The 19429-nt window shown below is 37.1% G+C and overlaps 1 protein-coding gene across 8 annotated transcripts in view, besides 1 other annotated feature; it reads left to right on the top strand.

Annotated features, from left to right (window-relative positions):
- Positions 1–19429, top strand: part of WDR72 (WD repeat domain 72) — a 249138-nt gene that overhangs the window by 122961 nt on the left and 106748 nt on the right. The window lies entirely within an intron of this gene.
- Positions 14109–14717: an enhancer, noted in NCBI's record as "OCT4-NANOG hESC enhancer chr15:53917398-53918006 (GRCh37/hg19 assembly coordinates)". NCBI's record gives its function as "activates a minimal SCP1, AML or CMV promoter by ChIP-STARR-seq in naive and primed H9 embryonic stem cells {active_cell/tissue: H9 hESC(naive and primed)}" and the evidence as "EXISTENCE:reporter gene assay evidence [ECO:0000049][PMID:30033119]".

Here is a 19429-nt window from a genome sequence, read left to right as displayed (position 1 = left end):
GTCTTCTATAAAATACCTCATGTTTTATGAACTCTAAGATATTAGAATGTCATGGGAACTCCAAGGAAGGCAAGATTGCAACTGGAAGGGCAGATTATTAAAGGTTTAGGGAAGGTGGTCTCTTGAGGGAAATGAGCTTTCTTCAGGACTACAATTTCTGTAGATGGGTGTTAGGGCACTTTCCGCATGAAAAGAGACACAAAGGCAGGGCAATCACAAAGATCATAAGGCCAATATTAACTATTAATAGCAGAAGAATCAGACAGCAGTGCCAGGCACACACTGCAGTTAGGAGATAAGGCAAGAAAAGAATTTTTTTATTTTATATAATTTTTAATTTATAACATTATATATAATTTTATAAATAAATAAAATTATATATAATTTTATAAATAAATAAAATTATATATAATTTTATAAATAAATAAAATTATATAAAATTTTATTTTATATAATTTTTAATTATCTGTAGAGACGAGGTCTTGCTATGTTGCCCAGGCTGGTCTCGAACTCTTGCACTCAGCCTCCCAGAATGCTGGAATTACAGGCATGAGCAACCGCACCTGGACAGAAAAGAATTTAAGTGAGATGAATTAGGCTGCAAGCTCTGCTCCAGGGACTGCGGCTGTCTGTTCTGCTCGCTGTTGAGTCGTCCACATATAGCACATCACCCAGCACATAGGAGATACTTTTGATGAGTAGAGGGATTAATTAATGGTTAACAAACTATGAAGGAAAGGATGTGGTAGGAAAGGCATTGAAGAAAGAGAGGGGATTCAGAGAAGGGAAAGAAAAGGTAGTATCTAGATATAAGATTGGTGGACTGGTAGAATGTTGCCATTACAAGAAACAAAGATGTCAGGAGATGGAGTAGACTTCCTTAGTGAGAAACTTGGTGTTGCAGTGACCATGGTTCTTTTTTTTTCTTTTTTTCTTGAGATGCCCAGGCTGGAGTGCAATGGCTCAATCTCAGCTCACTGCAACCCTCCCGGGTTCAAGCAATTCTCCTGCCTCTGCCTCCCAAGTAGCTGGGATTACAGGTACCCGCCATCATGCCTGGCTAATTTTTGTATTTTTAGTAGAGACGGGGTTTTGCCATGTTGGTCAGGCTGTCTGGAACTCCTGACCTCAGGTGATCTGCTCGCATTGTCCTCCGAAAGTGCTGGGATTAGAGGCATGAGCCACTGCACCCAGCTAACCATGGCTTAATAAACGTATCAGAGCACAAATAATACCTTCTTGATATTTTAAAGTTAGAAAAATTTTCTGATTTTTCAGTATGTTTCTCTGTAATTTGGTGCAAGGCCAGTCTGTACCAAAAAAAAAAAAAAAAAAAAGAATGTGATTAGGAGAAAATATAAAATCTTGATTACAAATCTAGAAGGATATTTTATATGTTAAAGTACCAATAACAAAATGTCACTTTTCCTGACTTCCAGGACCATGTTTAAACAAGCCTTTGGCATGTTGCCATGGAGTAGAAATCTGTCATTGTTCTTTCTTGTGTCGTTTTTCTATTCCAGGGTAGCCCTCTGTTTTATGATTGGAAGGAAATGAAAGCCCTGCTAGATTGGATATTGGACCTGAGCATCTCTTACTTTGCTAAGGCACTGGAATATCTGGCAGTGATGGAGCTGCCCTTAGATAGCCCCATTGTGGTGTTGAACATTTTTCATTTCACCCTTGAAAAAAGACTTTGTCTAATGTTATAGCTAAGAGGTTGGACACACATTTCTTGGGAATTATTCTTAGCTCTTTTGTTGTTGAAGTGTTGATAGTAAAGCTGAAGTTTATGTTTGTTCACCTCATTCCTTACAGTTAAAAGGAAAAAAATGCTGCTTTCATTGGTCAGTACTATTTCATGCATTCATTTTCCTGGTTGTGTAAAGGAATACAAATTTTTCATTCAATGAATTTTCTTGAGTACTACTAATTGCAAAATATTGATATGGGAAGTAACCCCTCTCCACTCCCCACCCCCCATTGAAGGAATCAGACATGAAACCTGCCCTCAAATAGTTCACACCAGAAAATATATTTCCTAGATTGAAGGAGTCTCACTCACACTTTCACGCATGAACAGTTTCTGTGAATGCCTAAGGCTAAAAATATGATACAGAAAGTCATTGCTAAAGAGTTGAAGGGAGAGAGAATATGGGGCTGGGGAAGACAAGAATGAAGCATTAAAGGAGGTAGGATTTGGGATAGAAGCTGAGAAGAGGGGAAGGATTGCCATTTGGGTAACAGGCACAGGGAAAAGCACACACTTGGAAATGAGTTAAACATGCAGGGCATCAGTCAGAGAAATGTGACCACATGAAGGAAGAGGGATGCAAAGTTAGACAGGAAAGGAAAAAAGAACTTGACTGGAAGCCTGGATATGCCAACTCAATGAATTTGAACTTAATTCTACAGACACTTGGGAGCTATTGAGAATCTAAAAGTAACATGCTCAAAGCACTTTTTAAAATATACTCTATTACTCCAGTGGTGCTGTGCAGCCTAGGTTTGAAGCAGACAACAAGTAAAAATGTTCTGGGGAAAGCCACATTAAATGATAAAAGGTCCCCAGACTCAGATGATGAAGATGCGGAAGGAGAGAAACGTTGTGCAAAATAAGGATTTTTCACTAGTGTAAGAAGATCTCAGATCCTAATGTTAATACATTTTTATTTCTCTTCAATTATAAGATTATTTGTGCAGTATAAAGCTAATAGAGATGCAGCAATAAAAAATAATGTAATATTGATACATGCCACAACATGAATGAATCTCAAAAACATGTTAAGTGAAAGAAGCCAAATAAAAAGGTCCACATATTGAGTGATTTTATTATAATGAAATGTCCAAAAAAGGAAAATCTGTAGCCATAGAAAGTAGGTTAATGGTGGGAGTGGCAATGGGAAATGAGAGCAAGGGATCTTTTTGTGGTGAAAGAAATGTTCTAGAACTTAATTATGGTGAGGGCTGCACAACTCTGTAAATGCACTAAAAATCATTTAATTAAACACAATGGATTAATTATATACTATGCAAATGACCATAAAGTTGTTAAGAAAAGAAATAAATCATTAAAACATGGGCTTGGAATTAGAATGACCTGGGTTTAAAAGTTGCCTCTTCCAGTCGTTACCTGTGTGATTGTGGACAAGTACACAGAATTATCTAAGTCTATAGCCTCCTATCTTGGAACCCACAAGACGTACTCCATTGGAATTTTCTAAAGATTAATGACTAAATTTGCCTTGCACTTAGTCTTAGACATAGTGAGTTCTTACATAGTAGATTCTCAATGTATAATTATCTAATGAAGAATAGACAGTTGACTTAAAACTATCTTATCTCAAAGCTACATTTCTTATATAGTTTGTAATATTATTGATAGTATATGTGATGTATGACCTATATAAAATATGGTAACAGATCTAATTGGGAGAATCTGTTCCTCCCGATTTAATTTAATTTAATTTTTAAAAAGTTTCAGTGAAGTTAGTTTGTAGTTTGGGTATTCATTTTAAAGATTTATTTAAAAGTTGAATTTAAAAGTTTATTTTGTCTTTACAACCACTTATACTGTAATTAATTGTGTTTTAGCATAGCAGATCAGGTTAGGATTGACAAAGGAAACCTCAAATCTTAGGTTAGGATATTCAGACATTTTCAGCTCAGTTTCTGGAACTCGATCTTGATTGTGAAACAGACTTAATTGGGACATGGGCATAGAAAAAAATTTACCTTTATTGACAAAGACATTAAAATTTGAAATATGTACCACTGCATTTGAGACTTTAATTAAAATTTTATACAGAATAAGAAATAGTATAGCATAAAACCAAGCAGCATCAGTGGATGCACTGAAGCAATAAAAGAAAAATTAGCAAGCAGCCCCAACATGAGGATGAATCGTATTCCCAGCTTGCAAATGGGTTGCTTGGAGCTTTGATTGTTATTTTCCTTAAGAAACAATGGTATAAAGGGTACTTGGTTTCTAGGCTGTCTCACTAAAGTCCCTTTAACCCGTGGTGTAATGGCATGTCTTATTAACAGCAGCATTTTGTTTTTATTTTTCAACTTTTATTTTAGATTTTGGGGGTACACGCACAGGTTTGCTACCTGGGTATATTGCATGATGCTAAGGTTTGGGGTATAAATGATCCCGTCACCCAGGTACTAAGAATTGTACCCAACAGCTAGTTTTTCAACCCTTCCCCATCTCCCTCCATCCCCCCCAGTAGTCCACAGTGTCTGTTGTTTCCATCTTTATGTCCACGAGTGCTCAGTGTTTAGCTCCCTCTTATAAGTGAGGACATGTGGTATTTGGTTTTCTGTTGCAGCTTTAATTTCCTTAAGATAATGGTTTCCACTTAACAGCAGCATTTGAAACTCCACTAAGTCACTCTTGTAGTGATTTTTTAAGAAAATAAATTTTAAGCTCCCACCCAAGGAGAATAGGAATTCCCAAAGCTTTTCTATCCACATGTGTGTAGGGCTATAGATGGCAAGGCAAAAATGGCCCCAATTCTGAATTAATTTATCATTTTCATAAGTGAAGGGATCTACCTCAATTTGCTCCATAAGCTGAGTTTTTCTAAATTAAAACAATAGTCATATAGGCAAAAGCTGTGTTTCAAAAGCTGTTAAGTTCTCTACCTACGTTTGTCTTTTTTCAGTTAAAATGGCATCAGAGCTACACCAGGGAGGATGGTATGGTGATAAATGTGTATCTCTTTGAATGAGGCCTACTTACTGTTCTACCCTAGGTGCTTCTCACTGGTTTGCAGAGGGTAGGGAGGAAAGAAGTTAAAGTCAGCATTATTTCTGAAAGATCGTCACCCTCTGCAGTTTCTCAAGTCACTTTAGTGACACAGTTGAGGAAGGAAAAAGCAGAGCTTCTATACCTGCAAAAGCAGAGTGTCAACTTACACCACCTTGCTCTGGCTCATTGCTGCTGTGTGAGAGCAGAAGGTCCACTCTGGACCTCCCTGACAGGAAAAGTGGAATGCAAATAGCACTGTCTTGCACTACTACCTTTGCTGCCTGTTAAGGGTGGAAGTCAGCTACCCACCATTCAGTCCCCCTACCCATTCAGCCCTACTGGCACCACCTTGGTTGTGAAAGTGCAAGGTCAACTTACTTTGCTTTATTGTTCCTTGGTGAGACAAGAGGTTGAGCTCCTGCTTGGCCTCACTAACACCAGGGTAAGGGAAGAGCAGTTTTTCCTTTGGCACTGACTGGAGTAGGTTAAATATTGTCTAAAGGACTTTCTGTTCTGCTAGGGCCCCCTTTTCCTAGTCCTTTGGTTAGATCAAGTTGTCCAACCTGCAGCCTATGGGCTGCATGCGGCCCAGGACAGCTTTGAATGGGGCCCAAAACAAATTTGTAGACTTTCTTAAAATGTTGTAAGTTTTTTGCATTTTTTTTTAGCTAATCAACTATCATTAGTGTTAGTATATTTTATGTGTGGCCCAAGACAATTATTTTTCTTCCAATGTGATCCAGGGAAGCCAAAAGATTTGACACCACTGGGTTAGAGGGGACAGGCTTTTCTTGGGATCTTTCATGCCTATGCCTTCAGGCAGTTTGAGGTCACTGGTTTCACCATAACCTCTTCTGGGATATATGGGAGGCAAGGTGAAAACCCAGGGAATTCACTGTAGTGTTGTTTGTTCCTCAGGTCCTGAGGTTCCTAGTTAAGCAGGCTTCTGTCTACCTTCCAGAGACTGACTATTTTTGTTGTTTATGTCCAGGTTATTTTAATTGTAAGAGGGAGGACCTCAGTTTTAAATATTTTATAACTTACATTGTGATGTATTTTTAAACTATGAATTACTCAGGAGGGCACATTATCATTTTCAAAACTTAACTTTTTATTACTGATTTCTAAATTAAATTGCAGTATGGATAAGAATGAAGATTTTAGCAGATACTGTTTCTTTTAAATTTATTGAGGATTTTTATGTTCCTTTAAAAAAAGTTCAATGTATGCCATAAAGAATGTATATTCTTTATATCACTGGTACATATGTTCATATTGGGCGTTTGTGTTTGTGTACACACAAGGGTCAGTAGCAACTTGAAAATAATGTATTCTTTCTAGTTCATAAATGCAGGTAATGTTGTTTTAGTATTTTTACACATACATGCTTTACCAAAGTTATTAATTCTGTTTTATTTCATATTTTTAATATAGAATATTTTATCCCCTTGAGTGATCTGTTTCTGATAGATAGACTTGTGCTAAAATCAGTACAATGACTACAATTTTGTCAATTTATCTTTATAATTATATCCAGAGACTATGCTGTTAGATACATAAATATTCATGATTTCTTGGTACATTTTCTTTTTTGTGGTGCTATTGAGAGAAGAATTGTTTTGTTAATTTTATTTTTGGATTGTTTATTGCCAGAATTACAATAGAATTTTTGTATTAGTTGGTTTTTCACTGCTGTAAAGGAATAACTGAGACTGGATAATTTATAAAGAGAAAAGATTTAATTGGCTCACAGTTCTGCAGGCTGTACAGGAAGCATAGTGGCTGCTGCTTCTGGGGAGGCCTCAGAAAACTTAATCATGGCAGAAGGTGAAGGGGACGTAGGCACGTCTTACATGGCTGAAGCAGAAGAGAGAGTTATGGGGAGATGCCACACACTTTTTAAACAACCGTATCTCATGAGAATGCACTCACTGTACAGTACCAAGGGGGCATGGTGCTAAACTATTAGAAACCACCCCCTTGATCCAATCAGTTTCCACTAGGCCCAACCTCCAGCATTGGGGATTACATTTCAACATCAGATTTAAGTAGGGACACATATTCAAACCATATCATTCCACCTCTGGCCCCTCCCAAATATCATCTCCTTCTCACATTGTAAAATAGAATCACACCTTCCCAACAGTATCCCAAAGTCTTAACTTGTTTCATCATAAACTCAAAAGTCCAAAGGCCAAAGCCTCATCTGAGACAAGGCTCTTCCCTTTCACCTATGAGCCTGTAATATCAAAAACATGTTAGTTACTTCCAAGATACAATGGGGGTACAAACATTGGGTAAATACTCAGATTCCTAAGGGGAAAAATTGGTCAGAAGAAAGGGACTACGGGTCCCATACAAGTCTGAAACCCAGCAAGGCAGTCATTAAATCTTAAAGCTCCAAAATAATCTCCTTTGACTCCATGTCTCACATCCAGGGCACACCGGTGCAAGGGGTGGGCTCTGAAGACCATGGGCCGCTTCACCCCTGTGGCTTCCCAGGGTTCAGCCCCCACAGCTGCTCTCATGGGCTGTTGAATGCCTGCAGCTTTTCCAGGCTGAGGATGCAAGCTACTGGTGAATCTACCATTCTGGGGACTGGAGGATGATGGCCCTCTTCTCATAGCTCCACTAAGCAGTGCCTTAGGTGGGGACTAGATGTAGGGGCTTCAACCCCCCATTTCCCCTCTGCAGTGCTCTAGTAGAGGTTCTTCATGAGGGCTCCACTCCTGCGGCAGACTTCTGCTTGGACATCCAGGTGTTTCCATATGGCCTCTGAGATCTAGGCAGAGGCTCCTAAGCCTCAACTCTTGCATTCTGCACATCTTCAGGCTTATTACCACATGGAAACTGCCAAAGCTTACCACTTGCACGCTCTGAAGCAGTGGCCCAAGCTATATCTTGGCCCCTTTGAGCCACAACTGGTGCTGGAGTAGCAGGGATGCAAGGAGCAGTGTCCTGAGGCTACTCAGGACAGTGGGCCCTGGTCCTGGCCCAGGAAACCATTTAGTCCTTACAGGCATCTGGGCTTGTGATGAGGAGAGGTTGCCATGAAGCTTCCTAAAATGTCTTAGAAGACTTCTCCTCATTGTCTTGGTTATTAGTACTTGCCTCCTCTTTACTTATGCAAATTTGTGCAGCCTGCTTGAATTCTTCCCCTGAAAAATGGGCCTTTCATTTCTACCACATGGCTGGGCTGCAGATTTTCCACACTTATATGCTCTACTTCTCTTTTACATATAAGTTCCAATTTCAGGTCATTTCTTTTCTCTACTTCTCTTTGCTCATATGAGATAGGCTTTTAGAAGCAGCCAAGTCACATCTTCAGTGCTTCAATCCTTAGAACTTTCTTCCACCAGGTACTGTAAATCATCACTCTCAAGTTCAAAGTCCCACAGATCCCTAGAGCAAACCCACAATACAGCCACCCTCTTTGCTAAAGCATAACAAAGTGACCTTTACTCCAGTTCCCAATAAGTTCCCCATTTCCATTTGAAACCTCCTCAGCCTGGCCTTCACCGTCCATATCACTGTCAGCATTTTGGTCACAAACATTTAACAATTTCTGGGAAATTCTAAATTTTCCCTCATCTTCCTGTCTTCTTCTGAGGCCTCCATACTCTTTCAACCTCTGCCCATTACCCAATTCCAAAGCTGCTTTCACATTTTCAGGTATCTTTGCAGCAATGCTCCACTCCTCAGTGACAATTTTCTGTGTTAGTTCTTGCACTGCTATAAAGAAACACCTGAGACTGGGTAATTTATAAAGAAAGGAGGTTTAATTGGTTTACAGTTCTGCAGGCTCTACAGGAAGCATAGTGGCTTCTGCTTCTGAATAGGCCTCAGGAAACTTACAATTATGGTAGAAGGCAAAGGGAAAGCAGGACTGCTTTACATGTGGCTGGAGAAGGAGCGAGGGAGGGGGAATGCCACACACTTTTTATACGACCAGATCTCATGAGAACTCAATCACTATGTAGTACCAAGGAGAGGGGGATGGTGCTAAACTATTAGAAACTGCCCCCGTGATCCAATCAGTTCTCACCAGGCACCACCTCCAGCATTGGGGATTATACTTCAACATGAGATTTGGGCAGGAACACAGATCCAAAAAATATCAATTTTCTATATTGATATTGTGTACTACAACCTTGCTAAACTCATTTATTAGTTCAAATAGGTTTTTTTTGTGGATACCTTAGTGTTTTCTATATACAATATTATGTAATCTGCAAATATAGACAGTTTTACTTCCTTCTTTCTAATCTGGATGCCTCTTACTTATTTTTCTTTCTTAATCACCCCGTCCAGGACGTCTAGTACAATGTTAAATAGAACTAACAAGAAAGGACATACTTGTCCTGTTCCTGACCTTACGAGGAAAGCATTTGGTTTTTCACCATAAGTATTATGTTAGGTGTGGATTTTCCACAGATACCCTCTATCAGATTGCAGAAGTTCTTTTCTATTCCTAGTTTCTTGGGTGTTTTTTATTATGAAATTGTGTTTGATTTTTTCAAATGCTTTTTGTGCATCTATTAGGATAATCATGTGTTTTGTTTTTTATTCTATTAATATGATACGTTATGTTAATGGATTTTTGTGTATTAAGTCAACTCTATATGTGGGATAAATTCTAGTTGTTCATGGTGTAAAATTATTTTTAGGTTTTGGTAGATTTGCTTTGTGAATATTTTCTTGAGGATTTTTGTGTCTATAGTTATAAGGGTTATTGGTCTGTACTTTTCTTATCTTGTGATATCTCTGTCTGGTTTCAGTATCAGGGTAATACTGGCCTCTTAGAGAGATTTGGGAAGTGTTCTCGCACCACTTCTATTTTTTTGGACATATTTATCAAGAACTGGTATTAACTCTACTTTAAATGTTTGGTAGAAATTAACAGTGGAGTCATCTGGACCTGGTCTTTTCTATATAGAAGGATGTTTAACTACTAATTCAATTTCTTTACTTGGTATAGGTCTGTTCCACTTTCTATTTCTTCTTATGCCAGTTTTGGTCGTTTATGTCTTTTTAAAAATTTGTCCATTTCATCTTGATTTCCTAATTTGCTGGCAGATTCATAGTATTTCTCTGAGATCTTTTTAAAAACTTTTGTAAGATCAGTGATGATACCCCTCTTTCATTACTTTGATTTTTCCCCACTAATTATTTAGGAGTGTATTGTTTAATTTGCACATATTTGTAAATTTCCCAAATAATGATAAGGTTGGTAAATGGGACTCCTCAGGGAGCTGGGAGGCAGGTGAAATATTGCCAATTTTGTGGGGATGCGGATTTTTGAGGGTCTCCAAACATATATGCCTGATCCAGTGGCTGGTAGGCTGCTGGTTTTCATAGCTACCATGATTGCCAAACTGCTGATTTTCAAGACTGTGGAGCTAGAGAGGGGCAATGAGAATAAGGCAAATTAAAATGCTAGGACACTCACTGTTTTTACTCACATCCAGCCATTTTACTAGGGAAGAAAAGATCCTTGTCACAAAGCTTTGGTTATTTCTCAAGATCTTTTTGCCTTTTTGAAGGAGCATATTTTCAGTGGACCTAACTTAATTAACCTAGAAGTTCTGCCCCTGCTATATTTTTTAATATAATTATTATACTTTTCCTAATATTTCTAAAAACTTTCTTTCTCTTTTATTCATTTTATTTTTACTTTTTTTTTCTTCCATAACTTCGTGGTCATTTTTATGAATGTCATTCCTCTGATTTCTCTTTGATAGTCATAAATAATACATTTTCAGTCCCTTCTGTGGCACTGATTTTATCTGGAGTTAATATATGTTTCAGCTTTTATATTTGTAGCTATCTTTCTGAGTATTAGTTTCCCTGTGTTATAGAAGTTTGGTTTGCAAGCTCATTTCTAGAGAAAAATTTTTTCTCTTGGGTTTTTTGTTTTGCTGTATTTTATGTCTCTCTCTCTCTCTCTCACTCTCTCTCTCTCTCTCTCTCGCTGTCTCTCTCCTCAGCTGATATTGTCTGTTGGTTTTAGGTAGGTGTCTGCATACCTTGTCAAGGCCTTTAGTCTAGAATGGTACCTGGACTGCATTAATATTCGGTGTATGTCTGTCTAATCAGTGAACTAGCTGATGGGTTGATTGAGTTAAAAGTTAGATTAGGATTTTTCTAGGTTGTCCACCCGCCAATGGCCTGACATTTAGCCTCAGAAGTTGACTCTAAAGCCTTATTATCTGCTTATAGACTTGTTGGTAAGCAGGCCTGTGACTTTAACTTCACTTAGCACTTTGTGTTTCTTCCCGTTTGTGGTCTTCCAAGCTGTTTATTTTGTTTTTGAGCTTAGCTAAACATTTTAAGTTTTTTTTTAATTAAAAAAAATCTATTGTTGGTATGAATTTAAAAAATTTAGTTTACTTCAAAGTCCAAACTTTGCCATCTTGACTAGAAATCAACTAGTATTTTCAAAATATTTAGAATTTGTTAATTTGTCATAACACAAATTTAGTTATTTGAAATTTTTAACAGCAAAGATGTAAGCATCTACTGTAATTTCTTTTTGTATCTAAGTACCATATTCTCTACCTTTTTATGGCATAAGTTTTAAAGTTAACTTCTTATAAGTTAGGTTATAAATTTATCTACATTGTAGACTTGTTTCTCAGAAAATTTTCCGCATCAAGAAATCACACTATCTTTTCCTGTCAAACTTATGATGCCGGCTAATCATTAAATAATTTCTCAGTAATATAGTATTCAATACATGGGTGTCAACTTTTTTTTAATATCATCTGTGCCATCTCTCACTTGAAAAACTTCCATTGTTATAAACCTTTTGATGGAGGTACTTTCCCTTGAGTATAGATTCATAGTTTAAATTTCATAATTTTTTTCTTTGCATTAACTACACTTCTAATGCTTCAGCTGTGACTTATAGTTTTTATTTACTTAAAATGTAGAAGTAATTTAGAAACTTGAAGATTAACTAGAATGCAGATTCCATAGGGTCTTTCAGATTACTAAACTTTGTTTTCTTAGGAACTAAATTATATACACAGAATTCTTCAATTGTACATAGCTTATTAAAATATGTAATTAATGTGATAAGCACAACTGGGAAAAGAAGGTTGAGAACAAAGAGAATTAAAATTACCAGAAAGTAAGTATCTCAGTTGCTATGAGTAGAAGGCAGAAAGTAGAAAGTGGTATACTGGTGGTCAGAGAGATTGGAGAGCATAGATTAATCTGATGAGTTAGCTGAGTGGAGAACTATTAAGGAGATTTTAAAAAGTATTTTATTTTTAACTTAAAAATGAAATTAAACATGTAAAATAGTATAGCTTATTTATATTGAGAAAAACATAGATTTATGATTGCAATTAGGCACTAATTTTTTAAATGACTATATAATGAATCAAGTGAGTTTTGTGTGTTTTTTTTCTAATTAAATGTTTTTAGTATGGTTCACAATATGTCATCCTTTATTTCATGTTTGAATTTCAATAAGAATATTAAGGAGTTTTGTTCTAGAAAAGAATTTGAAAGATAATCAAGCTTTCCACAGGCCTAACTTATACACTTTACATTAAAACATTTTTCATTTGAAGCTTCTGAGTTAGTTTTCTCAAGTTATCTGGTTTTCTCTGCTACATCGTTTTTTGTCAATGGCATTGGTTATGACTCAGAGTTCTGCTATCACTGTTAGTGTAATCCTGCATCTTTAACAGTATTTGCTATCTACTCTACAATTGAATTGCATCATCAGATAACCAGTCCAAGTCTAATAGATGGGGCTAGGTCTTTATGTTATAAGGCAAGGAGTGTTTACGTACTAATTTTATATGTGACTAGTTCATTAGTGAATGTTTTCACATGATGACGACTTTTCCTTCCTTATACAGCTCAGTGACTGTGGTGTATTGTAAAATGAATGTTTAGCTAATGAAGACCCTTGTATCTTTTAAAAATAATAAATAAAAAATATTATTTCATTCTTTGAAGAATCTAAGTGGATAATGTCATCTTAGGAGAAACAGACTTGGGAATCTTGGTTGGGCTATTTGCCAGATGGGTAACTTAGAACAAGTCATTTCCCTTCTCTCTCTCATTTTTCCTTAGTGTGAGGAGAAAGAGTCAAATCAGACAATTTCTAAATTCTTCATTCAGGAATATAAGGAAATATCTAAAATGTTTTAGCAGCTGCTGCCTATATTTCCTAACTTTGTATTTAAATATTTATATTAAGTGTTACTGTACGAAGTGACAAAAGTGAGAAGATGAGGGCAGATTTAAGCATCAGTGTTACCCAATCTATTTTATGGTTGTAGTAGTGAGAGATGGGACTAGCTGGATTTCCTAGGCCAACTAAGAATCCCTAAGCCTAGCTGGGATGGTGACCACTTCCACCTTTAAACATGGAGCTTGCAACTTAGCTCACACCCGACCAATCAGATAGTAAGGAGAGCTCATTAAAATGCTAATTAGGCAACAACAGGAGGTGAAGAAATAGCCAATCATCTGTTGCCTGAGAGCACAGCGGGAAGGACAAAGATCGGGATAGAAACCCAGGCATTTGAGCCCAGCAACTGCAACCCCCTTTGGGTCCTCTCCCTTTGTATGGGAACTCTGTTTTCACTCTGTTAAATCTTGCAGCTGCACTCTTCTGGTCCGTGTTTGTTACGGCTGGAGCTGAGCTTTGGCTCGCCGTCCACCACTGTTCTTTGCCGCCTCGCAGACCTGCCGCTGACTTCCATCCCTTGGATCCGGCAGGGTGTCCGCTGTGCTCCTGATCCAGCAAGGTGCCCGTTGCTGCTCCCAATCAGGCTAAAGGCTTGTCATTTTTCCTGCCTGGCTAAGTGCCTGGTTCATCCTAATTGAGCTGAACACTAGTCACTGGGTCCCACGGTTCTCTTCCGTGACCCACGGCTTCTGATAGAGCTATAACACTCATCGCGTGGCCCAAGATTCCATTCCTTGTAATCCATAAGGCCTAGAACCCCAGGTCAGAGAACACGAGGCTTGCCACCATCTTGGAAGTGGCCTGCCGCTATTTTGGAAGCTGCCCACCACCATCTTGGGAGCTTTGGGAGCAAGGACCCCCGGTAACAGTAGCTTGGGCAGGTCAAATTTTTTCACAACAAACTCAGTGGGGGATCCAAAATGTTTTGAGAAAGAAGTTATCAGAACATGTTGCTAGAAAGTACGTTTCTACCTTCAAAAGCCAGGAGTAAAACCAGTCTTGTTTAAGCATTTTGTTTTTCTGAATCAGGGAGAAAAGGAAGAAGAACATAGTAGGCTGAAGGAAAAAGAAAATAAATCAGTACACTTCTTTGTTCTTCAGATAAAAGTGTTAGACTTGTACTTTCACACCTATTACATTTTTTTTTTTTTGTCTGAACAGTTGGTCCTTTCTGTTTTTCCTTTTTATATGTACTTTGGATTGCTTACAGTTTGCATTTCGTGTCATTGGCGTTGGTTTTAATTATTCTGGGCTCTTGTGGGTAGTAGAGGAATAATTTTGGCCTGCCAGCCATCTGGGATTCTACTTGCAGACTTTCAGACTCAGTATCTTTTCCCAAAGTCTTTGTACTCCAGACAAAGAATTCAACCCTGTGTGCCTTTGCCTACTCCCCACCTGCTGTTTATAGCATTCACATGTAGATGTATCAGCATTATTTTACTCCCAAACTCTCCAAAGTTCAGAGGTTGGAATGGATTGTTCTTTAGTGCCACCCTCTTGCTTTACCAATTGTAAACAATACCTTCTCTCTTTTCTCAACCTGGGATTTCAGAGAGTAGTAGTAAAAGTGATGATTTTTGAGGAAAATACCAGGACCTTGTCTATGATGCAATACCTGGAAATCACATGTTGGGGAATTATCTGTCAGGCAATCAGATAGTGTTTTATAAACAACATGTAAACCAATCACTTAAAATTTGTATTTACTCCTCACATTTTTGCAGTGGCATAGATGGGATGAAATACTTCTTGCTTTTAATTACTTGTTCTAGACTTTTAAAAATTGCAGTCAGATTAATGAATGTTTCCAAGACACTTCCGTTAGAATGATGTTTTAGATATATTTTATCATCCTAAAATTAACATAATTATATTTGTATTTTTGCTTTTAGCATGCTACTTTTAATAGACTTTTTGTCTGTGAAATATATTGCATATAGGTAACATAAAAATAAAGTTAATATTAACTACAGCCTTTGCTAAACATTACTGAATATTGTGTCTGCCCAATCTATAAAATGTGAAAACTCAGAAAATATATATTATGGGCATTTACTGTCATTTTTCTGTGTTACTTATATCCAAAATGATAGTCATTATGTTTTCAAGGCCCTTTGTTAATAAGACTTTTAGCATACACTTCCTAAAGTTTCAAACAGTGATGACTAGCTGGAATTATGTTTAATAATTTTAATACATTAAAACATAGCAACAATTTATACTTATATTCTAATGGACTTGTTTTCAAATGGAAGCCAACTCTGTTGTATGTTAATTAAATTTGGAATAACATTTATGATTTTAAAATAATGTAAAATATTCAGTTGCTTCTTTGATAAGGTGACCATATTTAGGAACACAAATTTAGGATTTTTGCTTATGGCAGTGCACTAGGCCTATTGTGGCTGTGTGGACCACAAAATAATAAGAGGAGAACAAGAAATATTGCTCGAATCATTGCTGTGATTTTGATTGGCCCAGAAGTTGAGGAGATCTAGGTGCTGAGACAGAGATTATAGCTTTGAGGAAGTGGAAGTGCATAGGAGGGCAGAACTCTGCCTTCAGCCAGCTTGATTAACCAGTAATCCAGAAGAAACCACAGCTATAGTTTGTGAGTAGATGACTTCTTTTCTTAAATACCCCTTGAAGACTTATAACTATTCTTAGAATGCATTTAGTAGTCAGTAGAGTTTATACGGATCTATGTAACCTGGCCCTCATCTCTTCTGTGTAGCTCATTCTCTACCTTCCCGTATTCTACCTTTCAGCCATTCTGAAATTTTCTCAGTTCACGCTATATGCATACCTTCTTACCCTTCTTCTAGCCATCACTTCAGAGGTCTTCTCATATTTGCAATGCACCCAACAAATGTCTTATAGCCAGAATCTATAGGGAACTTAATTGAACAAGCAAAAAATAACTCCATTAAAAATGGGAAAAGTCGTGAGCATACACTTCTCAAAAGAAGACATACAAGTGGCCAAGAAACATATGAAAAGATGCTCAACATCACTAGTTATCATAGAAATGCAACTCTAAACGACAATGAGTTACCATCTCATGCCAGTCAGGATGGCTATGATTAAACATCAAAAAACAATGGATGCTGGTGAGGCCACAGAAAACAGGGAATACTTATACAGTGTATATTTGTAAGTGGGAATGTATACAGTGTATACTTATACTTGGTGGGAATGTAAATTAGTTCACCTACTGTGGAAGGCAGTGTGGAGATTTCTCAAAGAATTTAAAAAAGAACTACCATTTGACCCAGCAATCCCATTACTGGGAAAGAAAATAAAGTTCTACCAAAAAGACACGTGATCTTGTATGTTCATTGCAGCACTATTCACAATAGCAAAGATATGGAATCAACCTAGGTGCGCATCAACAATGGATTGGATAGAGAAAGTGTGATATATATGTGTGTGTGTATGTGTATGTGTATGTGTGTATATATATATATATAATATAATGCTATTTAGCCATAAAAAAGAATGAAATCATGTTCTTAGTAGCAACATGGATGCAGCTGGAGGTCATTATCCTAAGTTAATTAACACAGGAACAGAAAGTCAAATACTGCATGTTCTCACTTATCAATGGAAGCTAAACAATGAGTACTCATGAACATAAAGATGACAACAATAGCCACTGGGGACTACTAAATGGAAAAGGAAAGAAGAGGACTGTGGGTTGAAAAACCAACTATTGGGTACTATGCTCAGTACCTGGGTGTTGGGATCAATCATATCCCAAACCACAAATCTGCAGATGTAGCCCCTGAATCTAAAATAAAAGTTGAAAAAAAAGAGTTAGTTAATTAAGAAATCAAAACCCGTATAGTATACAATATTTTACACTTTTTTGAGACTAATGATTTACAAACTATTTCTCTCTACAATATTTTTATCTCTTTGTTTATCTCTTGTGATGGTATGAGTATTTTACAAATTAATTTATGTGAGTTCTTTATATGCCTAAAATATTAGCCTTTGATTATTGATCTTGTGAATTTTGTTCTTATGCTTTTAAGTTTAATTTGATCAATGCAGCTGTTTTGCGGGGAGGGTAGTACATGTTAAAAATATTTGGCTAGTCATATCTATTGTTGACATTTTCTTTTTTCCCCTAGGGCCCTTTATTTTAGTTTAGTTTAGTTTAGTTTAGTTCTGGGATACATATGCAGGATGTACAGGTTTGTTACATAGGTAAACGTGTGCCATGGTGATTTGCTGTGCCTGTAGAAACCCATCACCTAGGTATTAAGGCCAGCATGCATTAACTATTTATCCTGATGCTCTCCCTCCCCCTGCTCCCTCCTCAGACTGCCCCCACTGTGTGTGTTTTCCCCTCCTGTGTCCATGTGTTCTCGTTGTTCAGCTCCCACTTATAAATTAGGACATGGGGTGTTTGTTTTTTCTTTCCCATTATTTTGCTGAGGATAATGGCTTGCAGCTCCATCCATTGTCCCTGTAAAAGACACATCTCATTCTTTTTTATGGCTGTGTAGTATTCCATGGTATATATGTACCACTTTCTCCTTATCCAGTCTATCATTGATGGGCTTTTGGGTTGATTCCATATCTTTGCTATTGTGACTAGTGCTGCAATGAACATAACACTTGCATGTATCTTTATAATAGAATGATTTATATTCCTATGGGTATATACCCAGTAATGGGATTGCTGGGTCGAATAGTATTTCTGGTTCTAGGTCTTCGAGGAATCGCTACAGTGTCTTCCTCAGTGGTTGAACTAATTTACATGTCCACCAATAGTGTAAAAGCTGTTCCTATTTTTCTAACGCCCTGCTATTATCTGTTGTTTCTTGACTTTTTAATAATCACCATTCTGAATGGCATGAGATGGTATCTCATTGCTGTTTTGATTTGCATTTCTCTAATGATCAGTGATTATGAGCTTTTTTCATATGTTTATTGACCACACGAATGTCTTCTGTTGAGAAATGTCTGTTCTTGTTCTTTTGCCCACATTTTAATGGGGTTGTTTGTTTTTTTCTTGTAAATTTGTTTAAGTTCCTTGTAGATTCTGGATATTAGGGCTTTGTCAGATGCATAGATTGCAAAAACTTTCTCCCATTCTATAGGTTGTCTCTTCACGCTGATGATAGTTTCTTTTTTTAAAAAATGTTTATTTCCATAGGTTATTGGGGAACAGGTGGTGTTTGATGACATGATTAAATGCTTTAGTGGTGATTTGTGAGATTCTGTTGCACCCATCACCCAAGAGCTATACGCTGCACACACTTGTAGTCTTTTATTCGTCATCCCCTTCCCACCTTTTCCCCCTGTGTCCCCAAAGTTTATTGTGTCATTCTTATGCCTTTGCATTCTCACAGCTTAGCTCTCATTTATAAGTGAAAACATATGATGCTTGATTTTCCATTCCTGAGATACTTCACTTAGAATAATAGTCTCCAATCTCATCCAGGTCATATTCCTTTTTACAGCTGAGTAGTACTCTATCATATATATATATATATATATATATATATCACAGTTTCTTTATCCACTCATTGATGGATGAGCATTTGGGTTGGTTCCACGTTTTTGCAATTGAGAACTGTACTGCTATAAACATAGTTGTGCAAGTATTTTTTTCATATAATGACTTATTTTCCTCTGGGTGCATACCCAGTAGTGGGATTGCTGGATCAAATAGTAGTTCTACTTTTAGTTCTTTAAGGAATTCTCCACACCGTTTTCCACAGTGGTTGTGCTAGTTTACATTCCCACCAGCAGTGTAGAAGCACTCCCTGTTTACCACATCCAAGCCAACATCTATTATTTTTTTATTATGGCCATTCTTGCAAGAGTAAGGTGGTATTGCATTGTGGTTTTGATTTGAATTATCCTGATCATTAGTGATGTTGAGCATTTTTTATATGTTTGTTGGCAATTTTTATATCTTCTTTTGATAATTTTCTATTCATGTTCTTATCCCAGTTTTTGATGGAATTGTTTGTATTTTTCTTGCTAATTTGTTTGAGTTCATTGTAGATTCTGGATATCAGTCCTTTGTTAGACATATAGATTGTAAAGATTTTCTCCCACTCTATGGGTTATCTGTTTACTCTGCTGACTGTTCCTTTTGCCATGCAAAAGCTCTTTAGTTTAATTAAGTCCCAGCTGTTTAATCTTTGTTTTTATTGCATTTGCTTTTGGGTTCTTGGTCATGAAATCCTTGCCTAGGCTGATGTCTAGAAGAGTTTTTCCAATGTTATCTTCTAGAATTTTTATATTTTCAGGTCTGAGATTGAAGTCCTTGATCCATCATGGGTTGATTTTTGTTTAAGGTGAGAGATGAGGATCCAGTTTCATTCACCTTCATGTGGCTTGCCAATTATCCCAGCACCATTTGTTGCATAGGGTGTCCTTTCCCCACTTTATGTTTTTGTTTGCTTTGTTGAAGATCAGTTGGCTGTAAGTATTTAGGT

This window comes from Homo sapiens, chromosome 15 (assembly GCF_000001405.40).
Source record: "Homo sapiens chromosome 15, GRCh38.p14 Primary Assembly".
NCBI lineage: Eukaryota > Metazoa > Chordata > Mammalia > Primates > Hominidae > Homo > Homo sapiens.
This window is presented reverse-complemented; position numbering and strand designations above follow the sequence as displayed.